Source organism: Homo sapiens, chromosome 15 (genome assembly GCF_000001405.40).
Source record: "Homo sapiens chromosome 15, GRCh38.p14 Primary Assembly".
Taxonomy (NCBI): domain Eukaryota; kingdom Metazoa; phylum Chordata; class Mammalia; order Primates; family Hominidae; genus Homo; species Homo sapiens.
In genome coordinates this window covers 38,233,434-38,257,154 of record NC_000015.10, presented here as the reverse complement: position 1 = coordinate 38,257,154, position 23,721 = coordinate 38,233,434, and the positions used below count along the sequence as shown (strand labels likewise).

General features: G+C 40.6%; 1 protein-coding gene across 5 annotated transcripts in view, besides 7 other annotated features; it reads right to left on the bottom strand.

The window, feature by feature from the left end:
• SPRED1 (sprouty related EVH1 domain containing 1) overlaps nt 1–4,319 on the bottom strand; it is a 104,414-nt gene extending 100,095 nt beyond the window's left edge. For 4 of the 5 annotated variants that reach the window (XM_047432199.1, XM_047432200.1, XM_005254202.4 and 1 more), the window contains exon 1: nt 3,938–4,319. Coding sequence is in view for 2 of the 5 variants with exons in the window: in XM_005254202.4 (XP_005254259.1) it covers nt 3,938–3,969 (32 nt within the window). In the remaining 3 variants the exon portion in view is untranslated. Of the gene's footprint in view, nt 1–2,251; nt 2,371–3,937 lie in introns of those variants that run through there. The other variant, XM_047432201.1, reaches the window with a different exon arrangement.
• Nucleotides 4,110–4,159: a silencer, noted in NCBI's record as "silent region_6304". NCBI's record gives its function as "represses an Ori minimal core promoter by ATAC-STARR-seq in GM12878 lymphoblastoid cells {active_cell/tissue: GM12878}" and the evidence as "EXISTENCE:reporter gene assay evidence [ECO:0000049][PMID:35858748]".
• Nucleotides 4,170–4,229: a silencer, noted in NCBI's record as "silent region_6303". NCBI's record gives its function as "represses an Ori minimal core promoter by ATAC-STARR-seq in GM12878 lymphoblastoid cells {active_cell/tissue: GM12878}" and the evidence as "EXISTENCE:reporter gene assay evidence [ECO:0000049][PMID:35858748]".
• Nucleotides 4,410–4,509: a silencer, noted in NCBI's record as "silent region_6302". NCBI's record gives its function as "represses an Ori minimal core promoter by ATAC-STARR-seq in GM12878 lymphoblastoid cells {active_cell/tissue: GM12878}" and the evidence as "EXISTENCE:reporter gene assay evidence [ECO:0000049][PMID:35858748]".
• Nucleotides 4,610–4,659: a silencer, noted in NCBI's record as "silent region_6301". NCBI's record gives its function as "represses an Ori minimal core promoter by ATAC-STARR-seq in GM12878 lymphoblastoid cells {active_cell/tissue: GM12878}" and the evidence as "EXISTENCE:reporter gene assay evidence [ECO:0000049][PMID:35858748]".
• Nucleotides 4,670–4,969: a silencer, noted in NCBI's record as "silent region_6300". NCBI's record gives its function as "represses an Ori minimal core promoter by ATAC-STARR-seq in GM12878 lymphoblastoid cells {active_cell/tissue: GM12878}" and the evidence as "EXISTENCE:reporter gene assay evidence [ECO:0000049][PMID:35858748]".
• Nucleotides 5,613–5,907: a silencer, noted in NCBI's record as "tiled region #4108; K562 Repressive DNase matched - State 4:PromP". NCBI's record gives its function as "represses a minimal TATA promoter and a strong SV40 promoter by Sharpr-MPRA in K562 cells {active_cell/tissue: K562}" and the evidence as "EXISTENCE:reporter gene assay evidence [ECO:0000049][PMID:27701403]".
• Nucleotides 5,800–5,849: a silencer, noted in NCBI's record as "silent region_6299". NCBI's record gives its function as "represses an Ori minimal core promoter by ATAC-STARR-seq in GM12878 lymphoblastoid cells {active_cell/tissue: GM12878}" and the evidence as "EXISTENCE:reporter gene assay evidence [ECO:0000049][PMID:35858748]".

Sequence of the window (23,721 nt, the reverse complement as noted above, 5' to 3'; positions counted from 1 at the left end):
AAAGAGGGGAAGAGAGAAGGTCTTTTGGGGAAAAATGACAAATTTACAAAAGTTTGTAAGGAGAGGAATTCTAGGTATGGTATCATAATGTGTTTAAAATATATAATTCAGGATCATAAAGTTTTAAGTGAGAAAGCAGAGGGAAATTAAGTTGAAGCAAGTATGCAGTCATTTAGCTGATTTTTACACAGGCCAACTGAATAATAAGCAAATTTTTATATTATGTATACACCACATCTATATAAACAAACATTAGATGGCTTAATATTACACAGCTTTCCAGTGCTTCCATTTATTTCTAGAATGTTTTCCAATTTTATATATATATATATGTGTGTGTGTGTACATACATATACATACGTAAAATGTATGGGGTGAACATATGTTTATTTACACTTATCAAAAATAACTCACCACTGGGTATATTTTTTATGAGGCACTAAATGATATAACCATAAAAATTTGCTTTCTATTTACGGAAAAACAGTTCAAACTCAGATTACAACATAGTACGTTTATCATACATGGTCTAATTCTAGTTAACCTAATTCCAAAATCTAATATAATCCCAACTTGCTATTAGAAAGCCTAATACTGACACAGGAAGTGTTTCTGGCTAACGTGAACCTAATAAGCCAAATGCTTATTATTTCAGCTACTTCACTTCTCCAAATGTTTTGGCCAAATTGACAAAAGGACATGCAGTGCTATATACACTCAATACCAAAGGACAAAGACTCTTAAGTATTATATAATATGCCTTTAAATGTTTAAAACTCTATTTAGAAGGCTAATTCAATAATGTAAAATATGGTACAGTTATATCTATCGGAAACATTTGACTGGAGTATTAAACAGTCTCTGTGCAAATTACCTACAAAACAAACATGTATGTGGCTATTTCCTCTACTATTTATAACACAAATTCTTTTGCTCTAGAGTATGTTTACTATTTTTGAAAAGTAAGATTTTTAAACATAAATGTGAAACAATCTAAGAAATGCTTTATTCTAATTTATTTCTTCCTTACTTGGTTTGGCATTAAAGCAAAGCCCTACACATAACAGATCCCCCACTAATTCTTGATTAAATATATTCTCACAGTCAGCCTAGGAGTTATCCATTTCTCTACATAAAACTTTAATTTCAAATAATAAGCATGTACTCGAGGATTTCAGAATGAGGCCCTACTGGATTTTACCACAATGGCTATCTAGAAAGGGTTAATGGTTTCCCAGGAAACTGGTGATTTTCACTTTTCTTGAAGGTTGAAATCAGGTGAAAAAGAAACTAAAGAATGTTAAAAATAGTCCCTACTGTAATTAAATCCCTATGAGCAATGGCTTTAAAAAAGAGAAAAGGGAAAAAAATGTAAGGCCCAAATAAAATCCATGTTACAGGGCAGTTTTAAACTGTGCTAAGGCCTTAATGGCTTCTGCCATGATACGTATCTTTCTTCATAATGACTATAAATAATAAATTTCCATTTCAAAACGGTTCACCTATTAAAGATGAGACATAAATTACTATATTAAAAGCTACATTCCAAATAAGTTCACTCTGTGGTTTATCTAATGCACAAGCAAACAATGCTGGCTCTAGTAAAACTGATTATCAGATGAACACATTATTTTCTAATATAATAGAGTTTTTTAAAGTAAAACCCCCAAGATTTTGTTCCCATGAAGAGTTTACCAAAATATTATGCTAAATATTATTATCGCCCTGCCCAAACTTAAAAAGTATTACAAAGCTCCTAGGGAATAATTTATTAATAAAGCAGGATAAATTTGTGAAAAAACGATTTTAAAAGTCTGGGTGAGTGAGATAATTTCCAAGTTGTCCCATACTAAGTACATTTAGATGAAAAAAAAATATTTAAAGCAATCCTCTCACTGAAGATTGCCATCGGTGTTTCAAATATCAACATCTTGGGGATTAAATCACTGGGAGTATTTTCTCAATTTACTGTAATAGCAGTGGAACGCACTATCACTATACAAAAAAACCTGTTGTCTCAATTTATTTATGGCAAGTATTTAAAAAAATGGCCATTTAGAAAAAATATATTTTACTTGTGTTAATTCACATTCCATCATCTGCTTTTTTTATTAGCTGCAACCAGAAGGAAACAAGGAGATATTCACTGCTTTAAGAAAAAAATTAAACTGGTAAGAAGTCTTTTCCCATCTCTAAAAGAAAACTTAACATTTTTAATCCAAACTTTTTGAAAGATACCAATAAAAGTTACCGTCATTCGGTTCAGCATTTTTAGCAGTTCTTCTCCTAAATAACCATTATCTGAGATAGACTTCTTGATCTCCCTCAAAGTAGGTCTAATCTGCAGAAGGCAGGGAGAGACTGTACTGCACTCTGAATGGACAGCCAGGTATTTTATGAATGGAGGCGATCACGTGATCCCAGCACCTCCCCGAACTGATATTTCCCACATAACTGTGTCAACATTCTCAGAACAGGGGTAGTTGTTTGTGTGTGCGTATGTTTTTAAATTTAACCTAAAATTTCACATTCTTCTTACCTTCTGAACTCAAAAATCTACACACAGACAAATAAGCCGCGAATTTTTTTTCTTGGGAAATCCTTTCAAGATGTCCAAGGTGATGGATGTTTAATTATTTTTTTTATGAATGAAGAGTGTGCTATGCAAATGAGGGCGATTCACAAAAAGAGACAGAACATGGCTGCCACTTCTGCTTCTACACTGCACTGACACTGCAGCAATGTACCTCCTTCTACACCCGCTCAGCAGAAGCGTGTGTTTTGGGGTGGGGAGGGAGTAAGGGAGGAGGAAATGTTGTTTGGCCTTTCTCTAGCTATTTTACGTTAAACAGGACTCGGTACAGACTTTAAAAAGTTATTTCAAAAAGGTCTGACTTTAGTAATGCACTGTATTTAAAGGAATGCATCCAAATGACTAAGTCCTAACTCACTTAACTCTTTCCAACCCTCCGAAGATAAACAAAAGTTGAACTTAATTACAAGAAAACGGATGCTAATATTCTGCTTGGAATTAAATCCCTTCTCAATAGAAAAGTGTTGCCAACCATTATTTCTCCACGCAGCTGTCACGTTAAAGCAAAACATTTAAAAGACGAAGTATTTCGTTTGGAAAGCAAGGAGAAAGCCCAAATAAGCTAAAACTTAAACCGGAATGCTCTAAAAGTTAATGAAATCACCAACATATTCAGCAATGTAAATTCGGTTACATCAACGTAAATCATGTGTTTTCACATAGCTGAAAGGTAAAAATTAGCATTCAAAATTCTTCTCCGTTCCTGAAGACACGTCCAATATTCACAAAGGTAAACTCTAGCTCAACATCGCCCACACTCCAGGTGTCCTTAATCCTATTAAATTCTAAAAATGTTTCCCTAACCCTATTTTTTACAAGAATCTTACAGGTCATAAGTTTAAAAGGGGGAGGGGGGAGAGGGTGAAGGCTTAATCGGTATTTAAGAGTCACTGACTCATCGAATTAAGATTCAAGAGCAGTTTGCTGCAGGAGGTGCTCCCACACATTAGTTTCCAAGTGAAACAGCTATAAAGGAAGTAGGATGGATACTGAAGGTATGGTGACTGGTATGTGAGTGAAAAAGGACGGGACAGGGGTCTCACAGGCAAAGGGGTAGTTTCTACTCCACTTCCATCCATCCACATTATTCCCTCTCATAGACGTACAATTGCCATCCTCTCCCAACACTTAATCCCCTACCCCAAAAGAAAGCAGCTAAATGTGGGAGGATGGGGAGGGGTGCTGCCACTAAAAATGGCTAAAGAAATCAGCTATCTCCAGAAGATGCACCGAACTCTCCAGGGTCGCAAGCTTTCCGGCACCCAAGTTTCGGATGGGTCTGGGGGAGAGCCGAGGGCGGATAGGGGGAGGGGGATTAGCAATCGAGATCAATGAGGCGCTTACTCGTTGTCAGAAGTCGCCGTCTCCTCGCTCATCTTTCCCTCACCGTGATCCGATCTGGAGATGGAGGAGCAACAGCAGGCGGGGGAGCAACAGCAGCACCGAGGGGCAGGAGGCAGCGGCGGCCGGGGGGGCGCGGGGGCAGCGGCACAGGGGCCTCACCATGGTGGATGCCTCACCCAGAACGGTACCCCCCCAGCCGGGAACCCCGGCCACCCCCGCAGGGGGGTGGCGGCAGCAACCTCCGCCGTGGCGACCCCAGCCTCTTCCCCCGCCTCAGTGCCCAGCCAAGGGATCCGAGGAGGCCCGGTGGAAAGGGAAAAAGAGAGGGGCTGCAAAGGCTGACTGGAGAGCTGCTCCTCCAGCCACTGGGGTGGAGCGCAGCGGGGTCCGGCCAGGAAGGAGTCGGCGGGCGGAGAACCCGGGAGCAGAGGCGGCGCTTCCCTCAGGGATGCGGCGAGGAGGAAGCAGAGCTCCGCTCGGTGGGGGCCGGCGGGGGGGTGCCGAGCCCAGGCTCCGGGCAGCGGCGGCGCGGTCCTGCCGGAGCCCACCCCACCATCTCCCGCCTCGCCGCCGGCTGCCCCTCAACCCCCGGCGGCGTCTGGGTCGGTCCTCAGGCGCCGGCAGAGCAGGGCTAGGGGCCCCGCGGCGGCGGATTCCTCCAGACACGCTCCAGCCGGGACTCCTCCTCAGGGGGGTGGAGGGGGCGGCGGGGAGCGTGTGAGGCGAGGGGCAGGCAAACCGATCGTTCCCACCCGGCCGGAGAAGAGCGGGCGGGCCCGGGTCCGGGGGGCAGGATCCCGAGAAGCGGCGGGAGAGGACAAGAGCGGCTGCAGGTTCCCCGCCAGCCAGTGCCCACCAGCAGCTCAGCGGGCCAGCTCCTCACGCCCGAGAGAGGGGAGCCGCGAGGGGGGCGGCGGAAGCGCTCACGCCGCCCGCTCCTTCCGCCGCCGCAGCCGCTGCCCGAACCGGGGGCGCCCGCGAGAGAAGGAGGCGAAGTAGTCCCTCGCGACTTCTCCCGGCCGCCCGCTTTCCCCGGAGGCCAGAGCGGGCGCGGGGTGGGGCTGCCGAGCGGGGTGCCCAGGCTGTGAGGGTGTGTGGGTAGGACTAAAAGCCGCGGCCTCCGGGCGAATCACTGCAACTCGAAGTCATGTGCAGCATAGCAAGTTTCAGGAAAGTAGTTCCCTCCTCCCTTCATTTCCCAAATCGTTGTCGAGCCACTTAGCGGAGAAAGGGGGAGGGAGGCGGAGGGATATCCTCCCTGCACCGTGCTCGGTGTGCGTGCGCGCGCTCCAAACTCTTGGCACGCCGCGAAAGGGGGCGGGGGTGGGAGCTGCGAGGGGAGCTGCTAGGGAGGTTGCATTGTTGTGGCGCGTTACTCCCCGTTACTCTGCTTGGAATATCCGGGTTGCTTGAACGAAGAGGCTAGAAAGACAGTGTGCTCAGAGGGGAAATCTGGAGGCTACTCTCTTCTGCCGTGTGTGTGTGTGTGTGTGTGTGTGTGTGTGTGTGTGTGTGTGTGTTTTCTTTGCAGAGCAAAGAATGGAACTGGCATGAGTTCATCTTTAGTTAGTGGGGGTTAGAAGCAGGGACTGCAAAGAGAGCTCCTCCTGCTGTCCCCCTGGTTGCACTGCTGCAGTCCCCTAGCTGCATGCACGAAGTGTATGTGTGTGTGTGTGTGTGTGTGTGTGTGTGTGAGAGAGAGAGAGAGAGAATATGAGAATGTATGTGTGTTTTAACACCTCGCCTCGCTGCCTGGATTCTTACTGCGCAAGGGGTATGCTATCAGGGCATTCATCTCGGAAAGCTGGAGTGATTGTTAATGGAGAACGACTTCCATTGAAGCCCAGGGTAGGCGTGTTACATGAATCTGGCGCAGCCAGAACGGAGGAAATAACTCCCGCTGCGAGTGAGGTTGCATAACTATAGCGCAGGAGATGCTTCTGTGGCACGAACTGCTCTGAACGGAGGCGGACCGATTGGATAGACAGCTGTCACGAATGCATTGTTAGAAGACAAAGTATGCATTCATCTCAAAAGATTTTTGCACAGAAACCTACTGGGGTTGCGGGCTGGAGCCTAAGGTCAGCCCAGCCACAGGAGTCAGAGCTCCTGGCTCTGCAAATTCTATTATCTGTTCTCCACTTAGAAAACCAGCCTGTACATGAACCACCTTAGGGGACTGAATCCCAAGTGCTCCCAAGTTCCTGACGCATCTTCCCAGATATAAGTCTCGCCCTGCGTGCAATGTTTTTCTCTTCCTTCTCAGATTTGTGCGACCTAAGAATGAAGGTTGCCGCTGGTGCCACATTAAAGAGAACAATTCCCGAGGAAAAAAAGAAGTTGGGAGAACCTCGTTAACAAGGCAGCACTCCTCTTCTACCATCCCTCTCCAGGAATCGCAGGATTGTTGTTCTGAGAATGAGCGTGCACAGTAGTGCACTGTTAACAGTGTTTTGCACGTAGCAGGTGCTTAATAAATGTTTGACGAATGAACAGAGGCGCTAAACCAGTCAATGTACCCAAAAAACCATCCCATTGATTTCTGAGGTCTCTTTATGTAACTTGATTCCTGCCTCAGCAGCAGCATTGTCCTTACTCTTGAGAAAGAGAGGGGCAATGTTGATGATGGTCTGTGCTAGACATGACCTCTAAACCTGCCTTTTTGAACTTATTCTTGCCAAGAACTTATACATGGGAGTGTTGATACTGGCCTCTTCCCCTTCCAGGACTACTGTTAACCAGTTAGGCTGCTCAAGTTTCAGTCAAGTACCATCAGTTATAATCTGTGTTCTTATCCAAGTTACTGAAACTCTGGGCCTGCATAAAATGGGGATAATAGTACTTAACTTACACAGCTGTTGTGCTGATGAACGAGATAATAATATACAGAGTTACTTAGAACAGATTAAGAATTCACAGTAAGAATAAGTCCTAGTTCTTACTACTGTTTTGTCAGAGATAGTAATAAACTTCATGGCAAAATAGTGGCAGATGCTCTGAGGATTAAATGTAAAGCATTCAATATTCTTGTTCATGCATTCAACAAATAACTATCAGTTGCTAGACACATGGCCTGGTCCTTAGTAAGCCATTAATAAATGAAACTATCACAGTTATTATGATTAAGTAAATAGAAGGAAAGTCGGTCATTTGCAAAGGCCTTTATCTTTTGAAGATTTGCATCTGTTTGAGGTTCTAGTGTATCAAGGAAATTGTCAGTATAGTCTTTGGAAGAATCTTGGTTGTCATGAGCCAGGCACTGTGCTGGCTATTTCCACATTCCACATACACCACACACTGCTTACATAAAGGGAGCAAGATGTGATCAATAGCCCAAATTAATGCTTTAAAGATTGCTCTCAACTCCACGACCAAGACATAGTCAGCAAACCATCCACAGCCTTTGGTGGTCCTATGCCATTTCTAGAACACTTTTGTGCCCTTTTTTCAACAACGCATTTGTAGTTCTCTCACCCAGTTGTTAAAGATCTCACCAACTTTTTAAAAATTTGCTTTGGTTTAGCAGAGCTCAGAGTCTTCTACTCTGAAGCAGTCAGAAATGGTGCTACTGCTCAGAGCCAAGGGATCTTCTAGTCTGACTGTCAATCACTGGCTGCTCTATACTCAGGAGGCCTCGACTTATCTATCCGGGTGTCTGGACCTTAAGAGTAAAGAGACGTACCAACCAAAGACAATGTGTGAGATCTTATTTGGATCGTGACTTAAATATTTTTAAATTTGGGACAACTGGAGAGATTTGAACATTAACTGGAGATTTGATGAAAACAAGGAATTTTTTTTAAGTATTGGTTTATGGCAACATTTTCTTCAAGTCCTTACCTTTCAGAGATATGTACTAAAATATTTACAGATGAAACGTTATGCTTCAGAATAATCCACTGGGGTGAGGAGTAGGAAGAATGGGTAAGGATATAGATGAAACAAGATTGGTTATAGATTAATGATGAATACATTCTCTTTACTATTTTATAATTTAAAATGTTCTATAATAATTTTTTTAAAATACACTGCAAGTACTTAAAATGCAGATTCCTAGACCCCAGCTCAGAAATTGTGATCACTAGGTCTATGATGGGGCCATGCTTTTGTAAGTATGCCAGGTGCTTGGCCCTTTTTAGTCCTTCATCATCTACTCCCCCTTTCCTTAAAACCATTTTTGTCATCCTGTCTCCCAGCACATCCGTGATTGAAAGCTGTGTTCCAGCTAAACACAAAAAAGGGTGGCCAGTGGTATATCATAAGCTTAGATAGACACTGGTCAAGGCCAGAGGGATAGTTCAGTTAGGAAAGGGGATCCAGCCAGATGTGAGAAGCTAAATACAGATCACAGTTTTGTCTTAAGCTCCAACTCCATTCAGTTGGTACTAATCAAGAAGAATTCTATGGCCACATTCGGGCTCAGCAAGAAAGGAGATACTTATATTTGCTCAGTTGTGTTTTCTAGGTAGCCCTGTGGGAAGGAAGCTAGTCACAATAGCTGGTTATCACAAGTGACTATCTGTATTATTGTCCTCAGCTTTAGGAATTAGCCACAACCATTTAATGACCTGTTCGAGGTAATTAATTATCAATAGGATCCATGGGCCAAAGAGGGAGGAACAAGAGAACAATTGCCAAGTAATTGCCAGTATAGGATATGATCCAAGTTAAGAAGGTACAAGTGGATTCTGAGTTCCATGTAGGTATCAGGCCAGGGTTTATTCACAAGGACAGCAAAAAGTAGGCTGTCCTCACTGAGACACTGGCAGATGGCATGCTATTTTCCTATTCAAAGTTTCTTTTCTTTTTTTCACATTGCTCAGCCCATAGTAATCATCTTTCTTATGAGTTCAGAATTGGTCTTCTCAGATTCTTTTATTTTTGCCTTTGCTGTTTATACTTGTGTTGATAATTATTATTTTTGCTGATTCATTTTTTATGAGTTTATATTTGTTTTCCCAATTAAATTTTAGTGACTTGAAGGTAGGGGCTGCCCTTTATATTTTTTGGCATCCTTTTTAGCAGTGGTCGTAAGTAATAGAGGCTTTTTAGGTAAAATACTATACCAGAGCCTTGACTATATATAAAAATGAAGCTATACTGACTGGCACTGGAGTTGAAATCAGGAATCCCCTCTGGCTTACTATTGGGACTTAATACTATTGCAGTTTAGCATTTCACATACACTGTGCCTTGCACCAGAAGCTCTCATCAGATATTTGTATTCTTGAGAAGCCAAAAGAGGAGACAGCCATGCCAACATATGAGGTTCTAAAAGTACATAAAATACAAGTGCATATTTCCATTTCTAAAATTACCCTTAACATTACTCCTTAGCAGATGTTATTAAAATTTTGTTTTTTAAAACTGTAGTTAATGTGTGCCTTGATCAATCGGAACTTCCTATTTTCATCATGTACTTTGTTTAATAAATGATTTTTTTTCTTTAGTTTAACCAGTCTCTTGGCTAATGAGCCCTGCCTCTCAGTGGAATTACTAAGTGGTAACCATGTTTCTAAATAGTTTCCTTGCCTCTGGCATGAGTCTGCTTCCCCATCACTAGGATTCCCATGTTCTTCCAAACTAATGCAAAGTATAAAGGATAAGTATGCTGTTTTCCTTTTTTCCCTAAGGACGGCAATTGTTGGTTTGGCAGTATCCGGTGAGTGTGTAATCAGTTTACTTTTAATGCTATAACTGCCTTTTACAGGAAGTTTCCACAAGATTAGGATGAGTACAAGGGAAATGAGCAGTCTGCAATTTCCTTTATTTTCTGTATAATCTTAGCAGGGAGGATGCTTACCAGACCCCACACTACTAAATAAAGCACTTACCATTATTCTCCCAAATGGCTTTAGCATGCTCATTCTTTAACGGTTATGTCCCACTACAACAAATATGAAGGACTGAAATACCCATCATAAAATAATCCAAGGCCACGTGCAACACAAATTTAGTATGACAAAAGATTCTAGGTTGGTTCCTTGGATTTTGCTTTAAATATGGCATTGCTTTCCCTTTTAATGAGTACTAATTAACCATGGTATAGGATTACAACAGGATTACATTTGAAATACACATTGCCCTTCAGGAACTTACCTTCCTAACACCCTTCCCCAGTAGGTATTATTATTAACTCCAGGTTACAAAGAGACTTGCAAACTGAAGATCAGAGAGGTCCCAGAGGTTACACAATAGTAAAGGCATGGCTAGAGCTCAACCCCGTTTCATCCCCTCCTTCAAAATTCTGTGTGTGTGGGTGTGTATGTGTGTATGTTTCAATATTATAATTTCTCAAAGATGGGATATTTGGTGGGATAGACTTTCAAGTCATTATTACTTTGGATAATGATTTAACAGGAGAGTCCTACTTTTAGATAACGAAAGAATTAAATTCCTTGGCTATTATCAGCTGCCTTTTGTGGGCCTCAGGTACGTAAGTTCCTTTATACCATCAGTTCTTAGAGTAGGGTCTGGGGACATCTGGAGTCTCTTTTGTAAATTGGTTTCTAAATCTAGAGCCTTGATAGGAGGACTACTTCAATCAGAAGGCAAATAACATCTGGTTGTCTTTGGGTGATGCTAGCAGATATCGATGATCATGGTAACCACTAGCCATATGTGGCTGTTTATTCCTCAGGTATACTAGCCATGTTTCAAGTGCTCAATAGCCACAAGTGGTTAGTCGCTATCATATTGAACAATCTAGATATAAAACATTTCTGTCATCACGGGTTGTTTTCTTAGACACATGAATGTGCAAATGTGTTGCTGTAAATAACAAAAGTAGTTATCTTGTTATTAAAGTAGACATGTAACAAGGATTATGCTCTCAAATACATTATTAGTGTGAACTGGGGCACTGTAGATCATCTCTTCATTGCCATTAACTAAGGGTAAAAGGGAGGATAATTTCATAATTATCTTTGATGTATAAGTCTTTGATAAACCTACAGAACATATCTATACTGGGAAGCATAAATTCATTGACTGGTTTATTTTGTTAAAAAATGGTTTTTGTTTGTTTAGTTTGGGTTTTTTTTTTTTCTTCCTCTGTTGCCCAGGCTGGAGTGCAGTGGCACAATCTCAGCTCATTGCAATCTCCACTTCCCAGAGTCAAGCAATCCTCCCACCTCAGCCTCCAAGTAGGTGGGACTACAGGCACCCATCACCATGCCCAGCTAATTTTTGTATTTTGTAGAGAGGGGGTTTCGCCATGTTGCCCAGACTGGCCTCAAACTCCTGAGCTCAAGCAATCCATCTGTCTCGGCCTCCCAAAGTGCTGGGATTACAGGCGTCAGCCACCACACCCCGCATATAAAAATGTTTTGGCCAGGCGCTGTGGCTCACGCCTGTAATCCCAGCACTTTGGGAGGCAAGGCAGGCGGATCACGAGGTCAGGAGATCGAGACCATCCCGGTTAACATGGTGAAACTCTGTCTCTACTAAAAACACAAAAAATTGGCCGGGCATGGTGGCGGGTGCCTGTAGACCCAGCCACTCGGGAGGCTGAAGCAGGAGAATGGCGTGAACCCAGTAGGTGGAAATTGCAGTGAGCCAAGATCGCACCACTGCACTCCAGCCTGGGCAACAGAGTGAGACTCCGTCACACACAAAAAAATGTTTTAAGTGTTCATGTTTAATATTGCATATCCTTGCCACTCAAAGCTGCAAAGCTTCACCCGGAAGCTTGTTAGAAATGCAGGCCCTTGGGCTCCACTCCAGTCTTCCTGAATTAGAATCTGCATTTTAACAATACCGCCGTATGATTCATCTGTGCATTAAAGTTTAAGAAGCCCTATTGTAAGTAATCTCTTTATCTTTATTATTATTATTATTTGAGATGGAATCTCGCTCTGTTGCCCAGGCTAGAGGGCAATGGCGTGATCTCGGCTCACTGCAACCTCTGCCTCCTGGGTTTAAGCAATTCTCTTGCCTCAGCCTCCCGAGTAGCTGGGATTACAGGCGTGCGCCACCACACCTGGCTAATTTTTGTATTTTTAGTAGAGACAGGGTTTCACCATCTTGGCCAGGCTAGTCTTGAACTCCTGACCTCGGGTGATCTGCCTGCCTCCGCCTCCCAAAGTACTGGGATTACAGGCATGAGCCACCACACCTGGCCAGTAATCCCTTTATCTTTAATAGTGTCCCTTCCTAACCTTGTTCTTCAAGCTTGTCCAGCTTCCAAGTATGCAAAAGTCAGAGATTCCCATTACCATTTCTAGCCCTTTTTCTGCACTCCCCACCCCAAAACAGGATTTTTATTCCTGTTTTACTTTAGCCTCTTTTTCCTGGCCTGTGACTTGGACCACTCAGCACCTTGTCTCTGTTCATCTCTGGATTAAGCCCACTGCTCACCCGTAGCTCCCTGCAGTGCTGGCAGGGGACTGTGGCCTTAACAGTTGCTCCCTGCTTTCCCTCTTTTCTCTAAAATCTCTGTGCTTTTCTAAAAAAAAAAAAAAAAAAAAGTCTTCCCCCCGCCTTCCCGCCCTCAACTCTCTAGCTTACCTGAAGGTTCCCTCCTCTTCCCACTGCAACATCACACTTTAATTGGACTTTTTCACACTTCATTAGGCACCTGTAAAGCCTGGTGTTTCTACATAGTCACTCAGGAGACCTTAAAACTTTGCATTTTGTTGTAGCTTCCATGTAGTCCACTATAATTTTAGAAAGCTAAACAAAACAAAAGACCCTGCATTTTCATGCCACATTGGCCCCTCCAGCCCTCTGTGTTGGCAGTGTGTGTGTGCAGTTTCATAGTTATAATTCAAAGTCAGAATATAGGTAGAGGTGGGAGGAGAGCTATAAAGAAAATGTCAGTATTCAAGGGAAAAATAGCAGTTATTTTTATATATTATATTTTTATATGTTTGTATAACATTTTATATTATTTAAATATTTCCATTTGGTTTTCCATGTCTCCTTGCTATACTGTAAGATTTTGGAGACCAGTAAAAAGGCTGTTGCAATCATCTATACAGGAGAAAACTGAGGACATTGCTCATGGGGCTAGAAAGAAGATGACTATAGACATATGTAGGTGGTAGAATCTACAGGACTACTCTAGGTACAGGGAGGAGGCCTGCTTTCCAGAAACTTACAGTCTAGCTAGGGAGACATAGAACCAGAAGGAAACATTTAGATTCTATAAATTGCAATATGACTAAATGCCATAAAAAGTAATAAAATTAACTCGTTTTTCTCCAATGACACTAATCTTATTAGTATCCTCAAATGTGTCTGTTTTGAAGATCTATGATATTATCTTTAGTACTTTTGTACAGAGAAATAAAGAATACACACCCAAAGGAAAACTTCTTCTGGTTTAAAAATGCTAAAAGCTTCAGTCCAGTGACATCTGGCCAGTTCGTACATCACCAGAAAGAGATGTTTTTATTTTCCATAAGATTTAAAATCCTAAGACACTGGCTTTCCTTCATCCTAGAGAATGCCTCCTTCAACTCTAAAGCTCTTTATCAAAAAGCCCTAAAACAATTAACACCCTCATTGCCTCCTAGGTTTTAGCCAATTTTTGTTTATGTCAAGTTTCCTTCTTTTGTTGGATCGTCCCAGACTTCCTTCTGGGTCCCCTGCCAAGATGCCATGCATTTTGAACAGTCTGTCTTTACCTATCTTATTCTTGCTTATTTCAGGTACAGTCAGATGCCTCATAATGACTTTCAGTCAACGATGGACTGCATATATGACATTGGTCCTATAAGACTATAATACCTCGTTTTTATTGTACCATTTCTATGTTTAGATATGCAAATATTGACGCTTACCATTGTGTAACAACTGCTCACAGTATTCAATACAGTAACACACTGTACAGGTTTGTAGCCTAGGAGCAACAGGCTATACCATCTAGGTTTGTCTAAGTACAGTCTGTGATGTTCACACAAAGAGGAAATTGCCTCACAATGCATTTCTCAGAATTTATCCTTGTCTTTAAGTAACACGTTACTATATATCTCCCGATATTTTCCATAAAGCTTTTTGGAATTGATTTGGGAAAATAAAATTACTTTCTGCAATCTTAAATTATTTGGTCCAGAGTATGTCTTAGGAATGTAATTATCCTTTATAAGTTCCAATTATCCTTTATAAGTTCCATGATTCTGTCCTTAACTATGTATTTGTTTAATGTCTGTATTTAGCTAACCATCCTTTCCAAATTTTATGAAGTCTCAAATTTCATATTATCATTCATTACACAAATTATTTTGTATAATAACTTGTAAAGTGAGATGTCAGATAGGCACTTATTATATGTTATTTTATTATGGTAATAGTAATTTATTACTCTAGTAGGACAACTCTTAGTTTATATTTTGAATTTATGTCTCTGGAGCTCCTATCCATTTAAATGGCATGGAAATTTTGACATGGTTTCATCCAGATTCATAAACTCTACTTATGTGTAATTCCAGTTTATTTTTACTTTTCATATATCTAAAATATCAAATTTTCTTGAAAATCACTTGAAGTGTAACTCATTTAATTCTAACCATTATTATTGCCTGGTTTTGCTCTTTTTAGACTTTTCCTTATCACCTTCACTCCTGATATTTATCCTATTTTACAGAGCCAACAGTACTCAATAAACAATAGAAAGAACCTTCAGAAAACTATCAGAGCCATCTAGAATTCATTAGAGAGTGGTGTTTAGGTCCAACTTTCAAAGGGTCCATCTTTGATAAACTCACAGAAGATATCTATATCAGCAACACTAATTTATTGACTTACTTATTTTATTTGCCAGGCTCTTATTATAGATGAAATGAAAGCAGTTCTTAAACTCAAGAAGTTTATAGTCTAGTAAAGGTGTAAATTGGTAATTACCATTACCATGGTAAGTGCTATAAGAGTTACTATGGGAGAAACTGATTTTGCTTCACAAAGTAGAGGATTAACAGCAGATGAGTTACCGTGAAGCATCATAGTGAAACATAAACAAGAACAAGGAAGTGAAAAACAGTCCTTGAAATTGACTTAACCATGTGTTCAAGGAGAATGTAAATAGAAAAAATATGCTAATTGTTACTTATTTGTATAACTTCAGCTTTCAAAGGGCCAATTGAAGCTAAGAGAGATTTGATACGTGTTTGGATATTTTTTTTGGTACACTTTTATATGGCAAGGCTAGGACTTGGCTGAAGAGGAAACCCCATCAGAATTAAGCTGTCATAGCCATTGCCCAACCTTTAACCTATTTAAATATGTTATCCTTTTCACCAGCACCTATTTCATTTTCCCTGGGAAAATATCTGTTTGGTACCACACAGTGACCCAATGGATGTTTATGTAGCTGACTTGTTTGTTTTCAATTATATTTTCTGGCAGTTTTTTATTACATGGGCCCTTTGTGGCTTATTTCAGCAATCTCCTAATTTAGTACCTAAATACTCTGAGAAAATTATCTTTTACATAATGCACTTGGTTTGAGTCCCAACCCAAGAACTGAGAGTGGTTGTCTTTTTTATTAATTCTAAATGCCTGGCTGTCCATGGTGGCTCACACCTGTAATCCCAGCACTTTGGGAGGCTGAGGTGGGTGGATCACCTGAGGTCAGGAATTCGAGACCAGCCTGGCCAACATGCTGAAACCCCATCTCTACTAAATATACAAAAATTAGCCAGGCATGGTGGTGGGCACCTGTAATCCCAGCTACTTGGGAGGCTGAGGCAGAAGAATGGCTTGAATCCGGGAGGCAGAGCTTGCAGTGAGCCGAGATCGCACCACTGTACTCCAGCCTGGGTAACAAGAGCGAGACTGTATCTCAAAAAAAAAACAAAAAAAAATTCTAAGTGTCCAAGGCCACCTGTTCTGATTCTCATCTTATCCATTACAATATAGTTTTTACTAGGCCTCCTGTTTCTCTTGTCTCTTCTGAATGCATGTAAAAATTCTATACTAGACACATTTTTGTTGTGTTTATTTTATTCCAAAAAGTGTTCTTGGTTCTTAGTGTTTGCTCTGAATATCAGATTAAGAAAACAGTAGCCTTACTTTCTAAGATCTCTTTTATCTTCCCCAAATGTCTAGTATTGTTGATAGGTAGAAATTGCCTGTTGCCTTTCAGAAATTTAACGGACACTTATGTGCACCTATGTCATGTATAATTCAAAGGAATAATTTTATTTATTGATTGATTTATTAAAACAGGGAGGGTCTAACTGTATCACCCAGACTGGAGTGCAGTGGTATAATCACAGCTCACCGTAACCTCAAACTCCTGGGCTCAAACAATCCTCCTGCCTCAGCCTCCCAAGTAGCTGGGACTACAGGAGTGCACTACCGTGCCTGGCTAATTTTTTAATATTTGTAGAGAAAGGGTCTCACTTTGTTTCCCAGGGTGATCCTGAAGCCCTAGGCTCAAGTGATCCTTCTGCGTTGGCCTTCCAAAGAGCTGGAATTACGGGTGTGAGCCACTGCACCTGGCCCAAAACAATAATTTTTAAAAGGCTCAAAATAATATCAAGATGAAGAAATCTCAATACTTAGCTCAAATCAGATATATTGGAATTTAAAGTCCACATGTACTCTCCATATATAACCCTAGTAATCCCCAAGTGCAAAGACAAAACTGCTAAATTGCCATTTTTGCTCATTTAATAACTAAACCAAGTACTCCTAAAAACTTAGAACTGTATAAAAAAGTGTACAGAGTAAAAGTGAGGACTCCAATCCCACTTTTCTCAAAGGTGACCACTATTAGCTGTTTAGAATACAAGTATATAATTTCAGATCCTTTTCCGTATATTTACACACACATAATAAACACAAGTTTTACATATTATAATGCTACTTTTTAACAAGCTGTGTATATTTTTATATGAGTATTCATTATTTTAAATGGTTATATAGTATTTCATAATGTGGGTATACTACAAGTTATTTATTTCTATTTATCTGTTTCTGTCTACAAATGGACATCAATCATTCATTGTTTTAGATTTTGTTATTTCTATTGAAAACAATTCTTTGGCTAGGTACAGCAGCTCATGCCTGCACTTTGGGAGGCTAAGGTGGATGGATCACTTGAGGTTGGGAGTTCCAGACCAGCCTGGCCAACATGGTGAAACCCCATCTCTACTTAAAAATACAAAAATTAGCCAGGCCTGGTGGTGGGCACCTGTAATCCCAACTACTCAGGAGGCTGAGGCAGGAGAATCACTTGAACCCGCTCAGGAGGTGGAGATTGCAGTGAGCCAGGATCACTGGCTGGGTAACAGAGTAAGACTCTGTCTCAAACAAACAAACAAAAACAATTCTTCAGTGATTATCCTTGTACAGTTATCTTTGGACGTAAAGGCAAAGATTTCTCTCAGGAAGATTTATATAAGTGAAATTGCTACATCAAAGAGAATGAATATTTTAAATAATAAAAGATAATGCCAAACTGCCCTCCGAAAAGCATTGTTCCTTTTTTTAACCAATATTTTTTAACCAGTAGTGTGTAAGAGTACCTTTTACTCTATAGGTGCACCCAAAGTGGATATTAACAATCTCTTCATTTTTTACCAGTGTGATGCCCTACCAAAATGGTATCTTGTTGTTTTATTTTGTGTTTCCCTAATCACTAGGTTTAATTTTATTCATGTTTCTTCTTCAGTGAGTTCCCTAATTTACCTGTTTCTTAATTTCTCTTTGCTTCAATTTCCTTAGCTATACCATTAGCTGTTGTTGTGAAGTAACTGTAATGAGATTAATATGGTTAGGTCTGTGTCCCCACCTAAATCTCATCTTGAATTGTAGTCCCCATAATCCCCACCTGTTGAGGGTGGGTCCAGGTGGGAGGTGATTGGATCATGGTGCTGGTTTCCCCATGCTGTTCTTGTGATAGTGAGTGAGTTCTCACGAGATCTGAAGGTTTTATGAGGTAGTCTTCCCTGCTCTTGCTTGCTTTTCTCCTTCCGGCCACCTTGTGAAGAAGGTGCCTTGCTTCCCCTTCACCTTCCGCCGTGATTGTAAGTTTCCTGAGGCCTCCCCAGCCATGCTGAACTGTGAGTCAATTAAACCTCTTTCCTTTATAAATTATCCAGTCTAGGGCAGTTCTTTATAGCAGTGTGAAAACTGACTAATACAGAGAATATTCATTTATTAAACAGTATTAGCAGTAGCTCACTGTCTTTTCTAAGAAAAATAATATGTGAAAAATAACAGTCTTGTTCAGAAAGGCTTTTCAAAATTTCATTTTCTATATTTAATATTCTATTGTTATTTATGTAATTTTAAAGTTTGCTTTCCCTCCAGCCACAGAGAAATATTGCATACATTATATTCAGACTAGCAATAACAATACACATACTATAGGGAGAAATTCAATGGAATTACTTCTTTTCTATTACTATAAAATGTACATTTGTTCAAAGTGTTTCCTCAGCACTTTCCCCAGCACAAAGGTGTTAAATGAGCCTTATTCCTGAAAGTGTTAACAGATGCCTAACTTTCTCCTCTCCCAAACCAATAATATAGAATAATTCTCTCAATAAATACAAACAGGCAAATGTTGCTAGATGCTTTTATATAAAAGTGTGTGGTCACATTCTTCCCTGCAGGGTAGGGGATGTGAAGGTAATCATAATGGTTAACATCTATTGGGTGCTTACTGCCTGCCACAGCCTCCCTTCCATGCGCTTTACATATGTTAATACTGCTGACCAAGAGACAGGTACTATTAATATCATCCCCATTTTAGTGGTAAGGAAATGAAAACACATAGAGGTTAAATTATATGCTTGAGAAGGTTTCATAGCAAGAAAGTAGCAGAGCTCTGATTCAAACTCAGGCCATCTTGTTCCGGAACCCCACTTACAACCATGATGCTGGGCTTTCATGACCAATGCTTGACTAAAATAGCAACAGAGGGGGAAGGAACTAGAAAAATAACATGCTCAAGGATGCACAAGGGAGAAAAGAAAGAAGTAAGGGATAAGAGAAGAGAAAAAGAAACAAAAATAGAGATGTAGACAAAAGGGAGGCAATAAAAAAGAAATGGAGACAACTACCCTCCAAACTTCTCATGCCACCAACACAATGGCCAACTAACTCGAGCTTGCTCATATCAGCACTAATGAAATGCACTGCATTTTGGATTTGGTCTTCCTAATCCTCCCTAGTCTTTGGCCTAGCCACCCCCTTCCCTCCACCTATAGGCATACTTCTTCTAATATGGGAATATTGTCCTAGCATCTCCCCCTGCTTTACTTCTAAGGCTGACAAAAATTGTAAAAGATGAACTCTTACAAAGCAAAATGGGATCAACTCTATACTCATTGATTTGTGCTTTTAGGCTTAATACAGGCCGGTGGCATATGTACAAAGTGTGCCCTTAAAAAATTATAGCAAAGATAAGATAGAAAAAAAATTATAGCAGAAACATTATAGAATTCTGATTTGCATTTCAAGTTCTCCTTAATTCATTAGACTCACCTTATCTTGTGCACGGTAGAGAAGGTAATGAGGATCACTCCATGACAGTGGTTCTCAACCGAGGACAATTTGGGTGATGAAACATTGGTGATGTCTAAAACATTTTTAGTTGTCACTACTGGCAAGGTTGGAGGGAATGCTGCTGGCATTTAGTGCATAGAGGCCAGGGTTACTGCTAAAGACAGCCCCTCGCAACAACAAATTATCTGATTGAAATGTTGGCAGTGCTAAAGATGAAAAACCTTGTTCCATGAGGCAACGCTACCCAGGCTCAAGTGAAAGCTCCTCTCTGGTGGCATGGGAATTTGTTCCCTAACAAAGATACAAGGACAGGTGACACTTTTCTTTCCAACCAAATTCTTCTTAGCCAGGAGCAGTGACTCACGCCTGTAATCCCAACACTTTGGGAGGCCGAGGCGGGCAGATCACCTGAGGTCAGGAATTCGAGACCAGCCTAGCCAACATGGCGAAACCCTGTCTCTACTAAAAAATACAAAAATTAGCTGGGTTTGGTGACGCTTGCCTCTAGTCCCAGCTACTCAGGAGGCTGAGGCAGGAGGACTGCTTGAATGCGGGAGACGGAGGTTGCAGGGAGTGGAGATTGTAGCACTGCATTCCAGCCTGGGTGACAGAGCAAGACTCTCTCAAAAAAAAAAAAAAAAAAAAATTTGTTTTCCCTTCCAACTCCTTCCTGTCCGGCCTAAGCCTAGGCCATTGGTTTGAAAAAAAAACAACAACAACAAAATAAAAGTTTTATAAAGATCCAAGCCAATATATTTGCTTGCAATTTCTTGTCTGAGTTTTCTACCACTGATCAAGGAATATTTTGCCAAAGGATTTTGTGAATGATATTATTTGGGTATCTCTTTATAAAGCTATGGATTAAAATGAAACTGAGCAGGTGTTGTTGGGATAATAATAGAAGAAAAAAAGGGAAAACCTTTATTCCACTGAAACTGTCTAAGGAATAATTATTACCCAATAATTAGACTCAGACACTTGGATGAATATTCCTTATCTCAAAAAAACCTTACTTTACAGATTTGAATGTTGACTCTTTTATGTGTCTAATAATAATAATGTGATATATTTATGTCACATTCTAAGAATATAAAAATGCTTAATAATTGTATCTGAAGTTGATATACTATTTAAAATTTTATATACCACATACTCTGCTCAATCCTATGTACATGATTTTATTTAAGCCTCGTATACCCACCTAGCAGATATGGAAACTAAACACTCAAGTTATTTGCCTAAGCTTATATAGGCTAGTACAAGGCAGACTAGGATTTTAATTCATGTTTTCTGACTCAAACCAAATCTAGCATATTTACATAATACGATTCTGTCAATCTCATTATCCTTGTTCTCAACATTGAAGAATGGGCTATATCTCTATTGGTAATTTATAAAATATACCCCTAAATGAAATCATGATTATGTTATATAAATATATTGCTATGTTAAAATATTATGTTCATTATAAACACTCCAAAATAAAATTTCAAAAATGAAAGCAACAAAGAACAAGTAAAAATAAAATTTCTAAAATTTTATTTCTGTTTCTTAAAATCACCTTGTGTACATCCTGGGGTTTTTTCACCCCTTTCAGAGACCACTTGAGTACTGGAGTCAGTTCTTCTTCACTGTATACATCAGACTAGGAGATCCAGCCTATCTGTGCTTCTTCAGAAACTCTCTTAGAAATAGCTTCTTGTCATATCAGTATTGGATGTCAGTTCCAGTTCATAGCCACACTTAAAACTAAATGACACAATAGTAATAGGAGAATATGGCCCCCATCCATGAGTATAGTACAATATGGTAGGAGGGGGTCTTCTGCTCCCTCGTCATCCATCAGGATAAAAATATGGTGTGACAAGGCAGACCCACAGCACAAGACTGAAAGCTTTCCAGTATTTCATTACAAAAGTCTTTACCTCAGAGTCCGAAGGAAATGTACTTCTAATCTCTGTCCTGTATTTCTTTTTCTTTCTTTCTGTTTTTTTTTTTTTTTTTTTTGGAGATGGAGTCTCACTCTGTCACTCAGGCTGGAGTGCAGTGGCACCATCTCGGCTCACTGCAACCTCTGCTTCCTGGATTCACGCCATTCTCCTGCCTCAGCCTCCCGAGTAGCTGAGACTACAGGCGAGCGCCACCACACCCAGCTGATTTTTTGTATTTTTAGTAGAGACGGGGTTTCAATCTCCTGACCTCGTGATCCGCCCGCCTCAGCCTCCCAAAGTGTTGGGATTACAGGCGTGAGCCACTGCGCCTGGCCCCTGTCATGTATTTCTTACACAGTAATTGTTCAAAATATATACTGAGGTCACTACTGAAAATTTAAAACTACTCTACTATGGAGTGAGGAAATCTTGGGGACATGAATTAGGTGCAGAAAGGCAAATTATAAATATACCATTTAGTTATTTTATTTAATTTGGCTTAACAGGTACTAAAGCTTCTATAATTTCCTCCTGTTTCACTTCTTACCAGTACCCTTGCCTTGAACTTTTGTACAGATGGAATGCTCAGGATTAAGATGAAATGAGTGACGGACTTACTTCAAGCTAAAAATGTAAAAGGGTGATCAAAAAACTCGGTAGTGAAGATAAATAATACTTTAATGCAATGTTTTATAAAAATCAAATTAAGGCCGGGCGCGGTGGCTCACACCTGTAATCCCAGCACTTTGGGAAGCCGAGGTGGGCGGATCACCTGAGGTCAGGAGATCGAGACCATCCTGGCTAACACGGTGAAACCCTGTCTCAACTAAAAATATAAAAAAAATTAGCTGGGCATGGTGGCGGGCACCTGTAGTCCCAGCTACTCGGGAGGCTGAGGCAGAGAATGGCATGAACCCGGGAGGTGGAGCTTGCAGTGAGCCGAGATCACGCCACTGCACTCCAGCCTGGGCGAAAGAGCAAGACTCCGTCTCCAAAAAAAAAAAAAAAAAAAAAAAAAAATCAAATTAATACATAAAAATTCATGATGAACAAAACAGAAAAATTTTAAATACTGACAGAGGATACTATCTGCTTCTTAGTTTTTCTAGGATTGTAGAAATAATATACATTCTGTCTAGATGATTTACCTTCACATTTAGGTAAGATGATACTTTATTTCACTCCCCAATGTAAAAATATGCCTTTGATCTTAACTCTAGGAAATCTCCCTTCAGCAGAACATCTTCTGTTTTCAAGTCAGTTCCAGTTAAATTGCTTTCTGTCAAAGTGTAATGTTCCTATCTGGCTATGCCTTCAGCCTTTACAGTCCTTAAAACCTTCAACTTTTAGAAACAAAAGAGATAGTAGAATATATTGCATATAACTGTTTTCATCTCAACTAATAGATAATTTATTGGCTAAGTGGCTAATGTAATTTTTTTAGTGGGAAATTTAATGTATGGATTCTGAGTCCTCTCATTAAATAAAGGGCAGTGATACATTGAGCATCACATTCAACCAGGATCATGGATTTAAAAGTTGTTTCTGTCTTTCTGTTCTATTTTTTGTGTCTGCTTTTTTCTTCTCTCTCATTATCTATTAATCGTTTTCACCACATAGATCAAACTGGGAAGGTGGCCACCAACAAGTTGTAGGTTTGCATATCCTCAGTTTCAGCTACCAGAAAGAAGCTGATAATACTTTTTAGCTCCAGTTCTGAAGTTCCTTGTAAAAGATTCATATCAGCCCAGCTTGGGAGTGCCTATGCCTCGATCAATCGACTTTGACCATGACCACGACCTTGCCCAATCTGGGCAGGGTCAGATTTTACCAGTTTGGTGGTTTGTAGCATGTTCCCATTGTAACCACATAGATAAAGAAATTGGAGGTTGGGCGCAGTGGCTCACGCCTGTAATCCCAGCACTTTGGGATGCCGAGGAGGGGGCGGATAACCTGAGGTCGGGAGTTCGAGACCAGCCTGACCAACATGGAGAAACTCCGTCTCTACTGAAAATACAAAATTAGCCAGGTGTGGTGGCACATGCCTGTAATCCCAGCTACTTGGGAGACTGAGGCAGGAGAATCGCTTGAACCCAGGAGGTGGAGGTTGCAGTGAGCCGAGATCACACCACTGCACTCCAGCCTGGGCAACAAGGGTGAAACTCCATCTCAAAAAACAACAAAAAAAGAAATTGGAGGGGGCAGGTCCCTCGCTAAGCTGCAGCTTGGCAGAAAGAAAGCATCTGTATCTACCACAGAAATAATGTAGTCCAAGCCCTTTATATAATAAATAATGAAACTAAGCCTCAGAAAGGTGGGTTGACTAGGACTAGGGAGAAAGCCAGAGCCAAATCCCAGGTCTCCTTACTGCCAGACTCATGTACTTTTATTCAA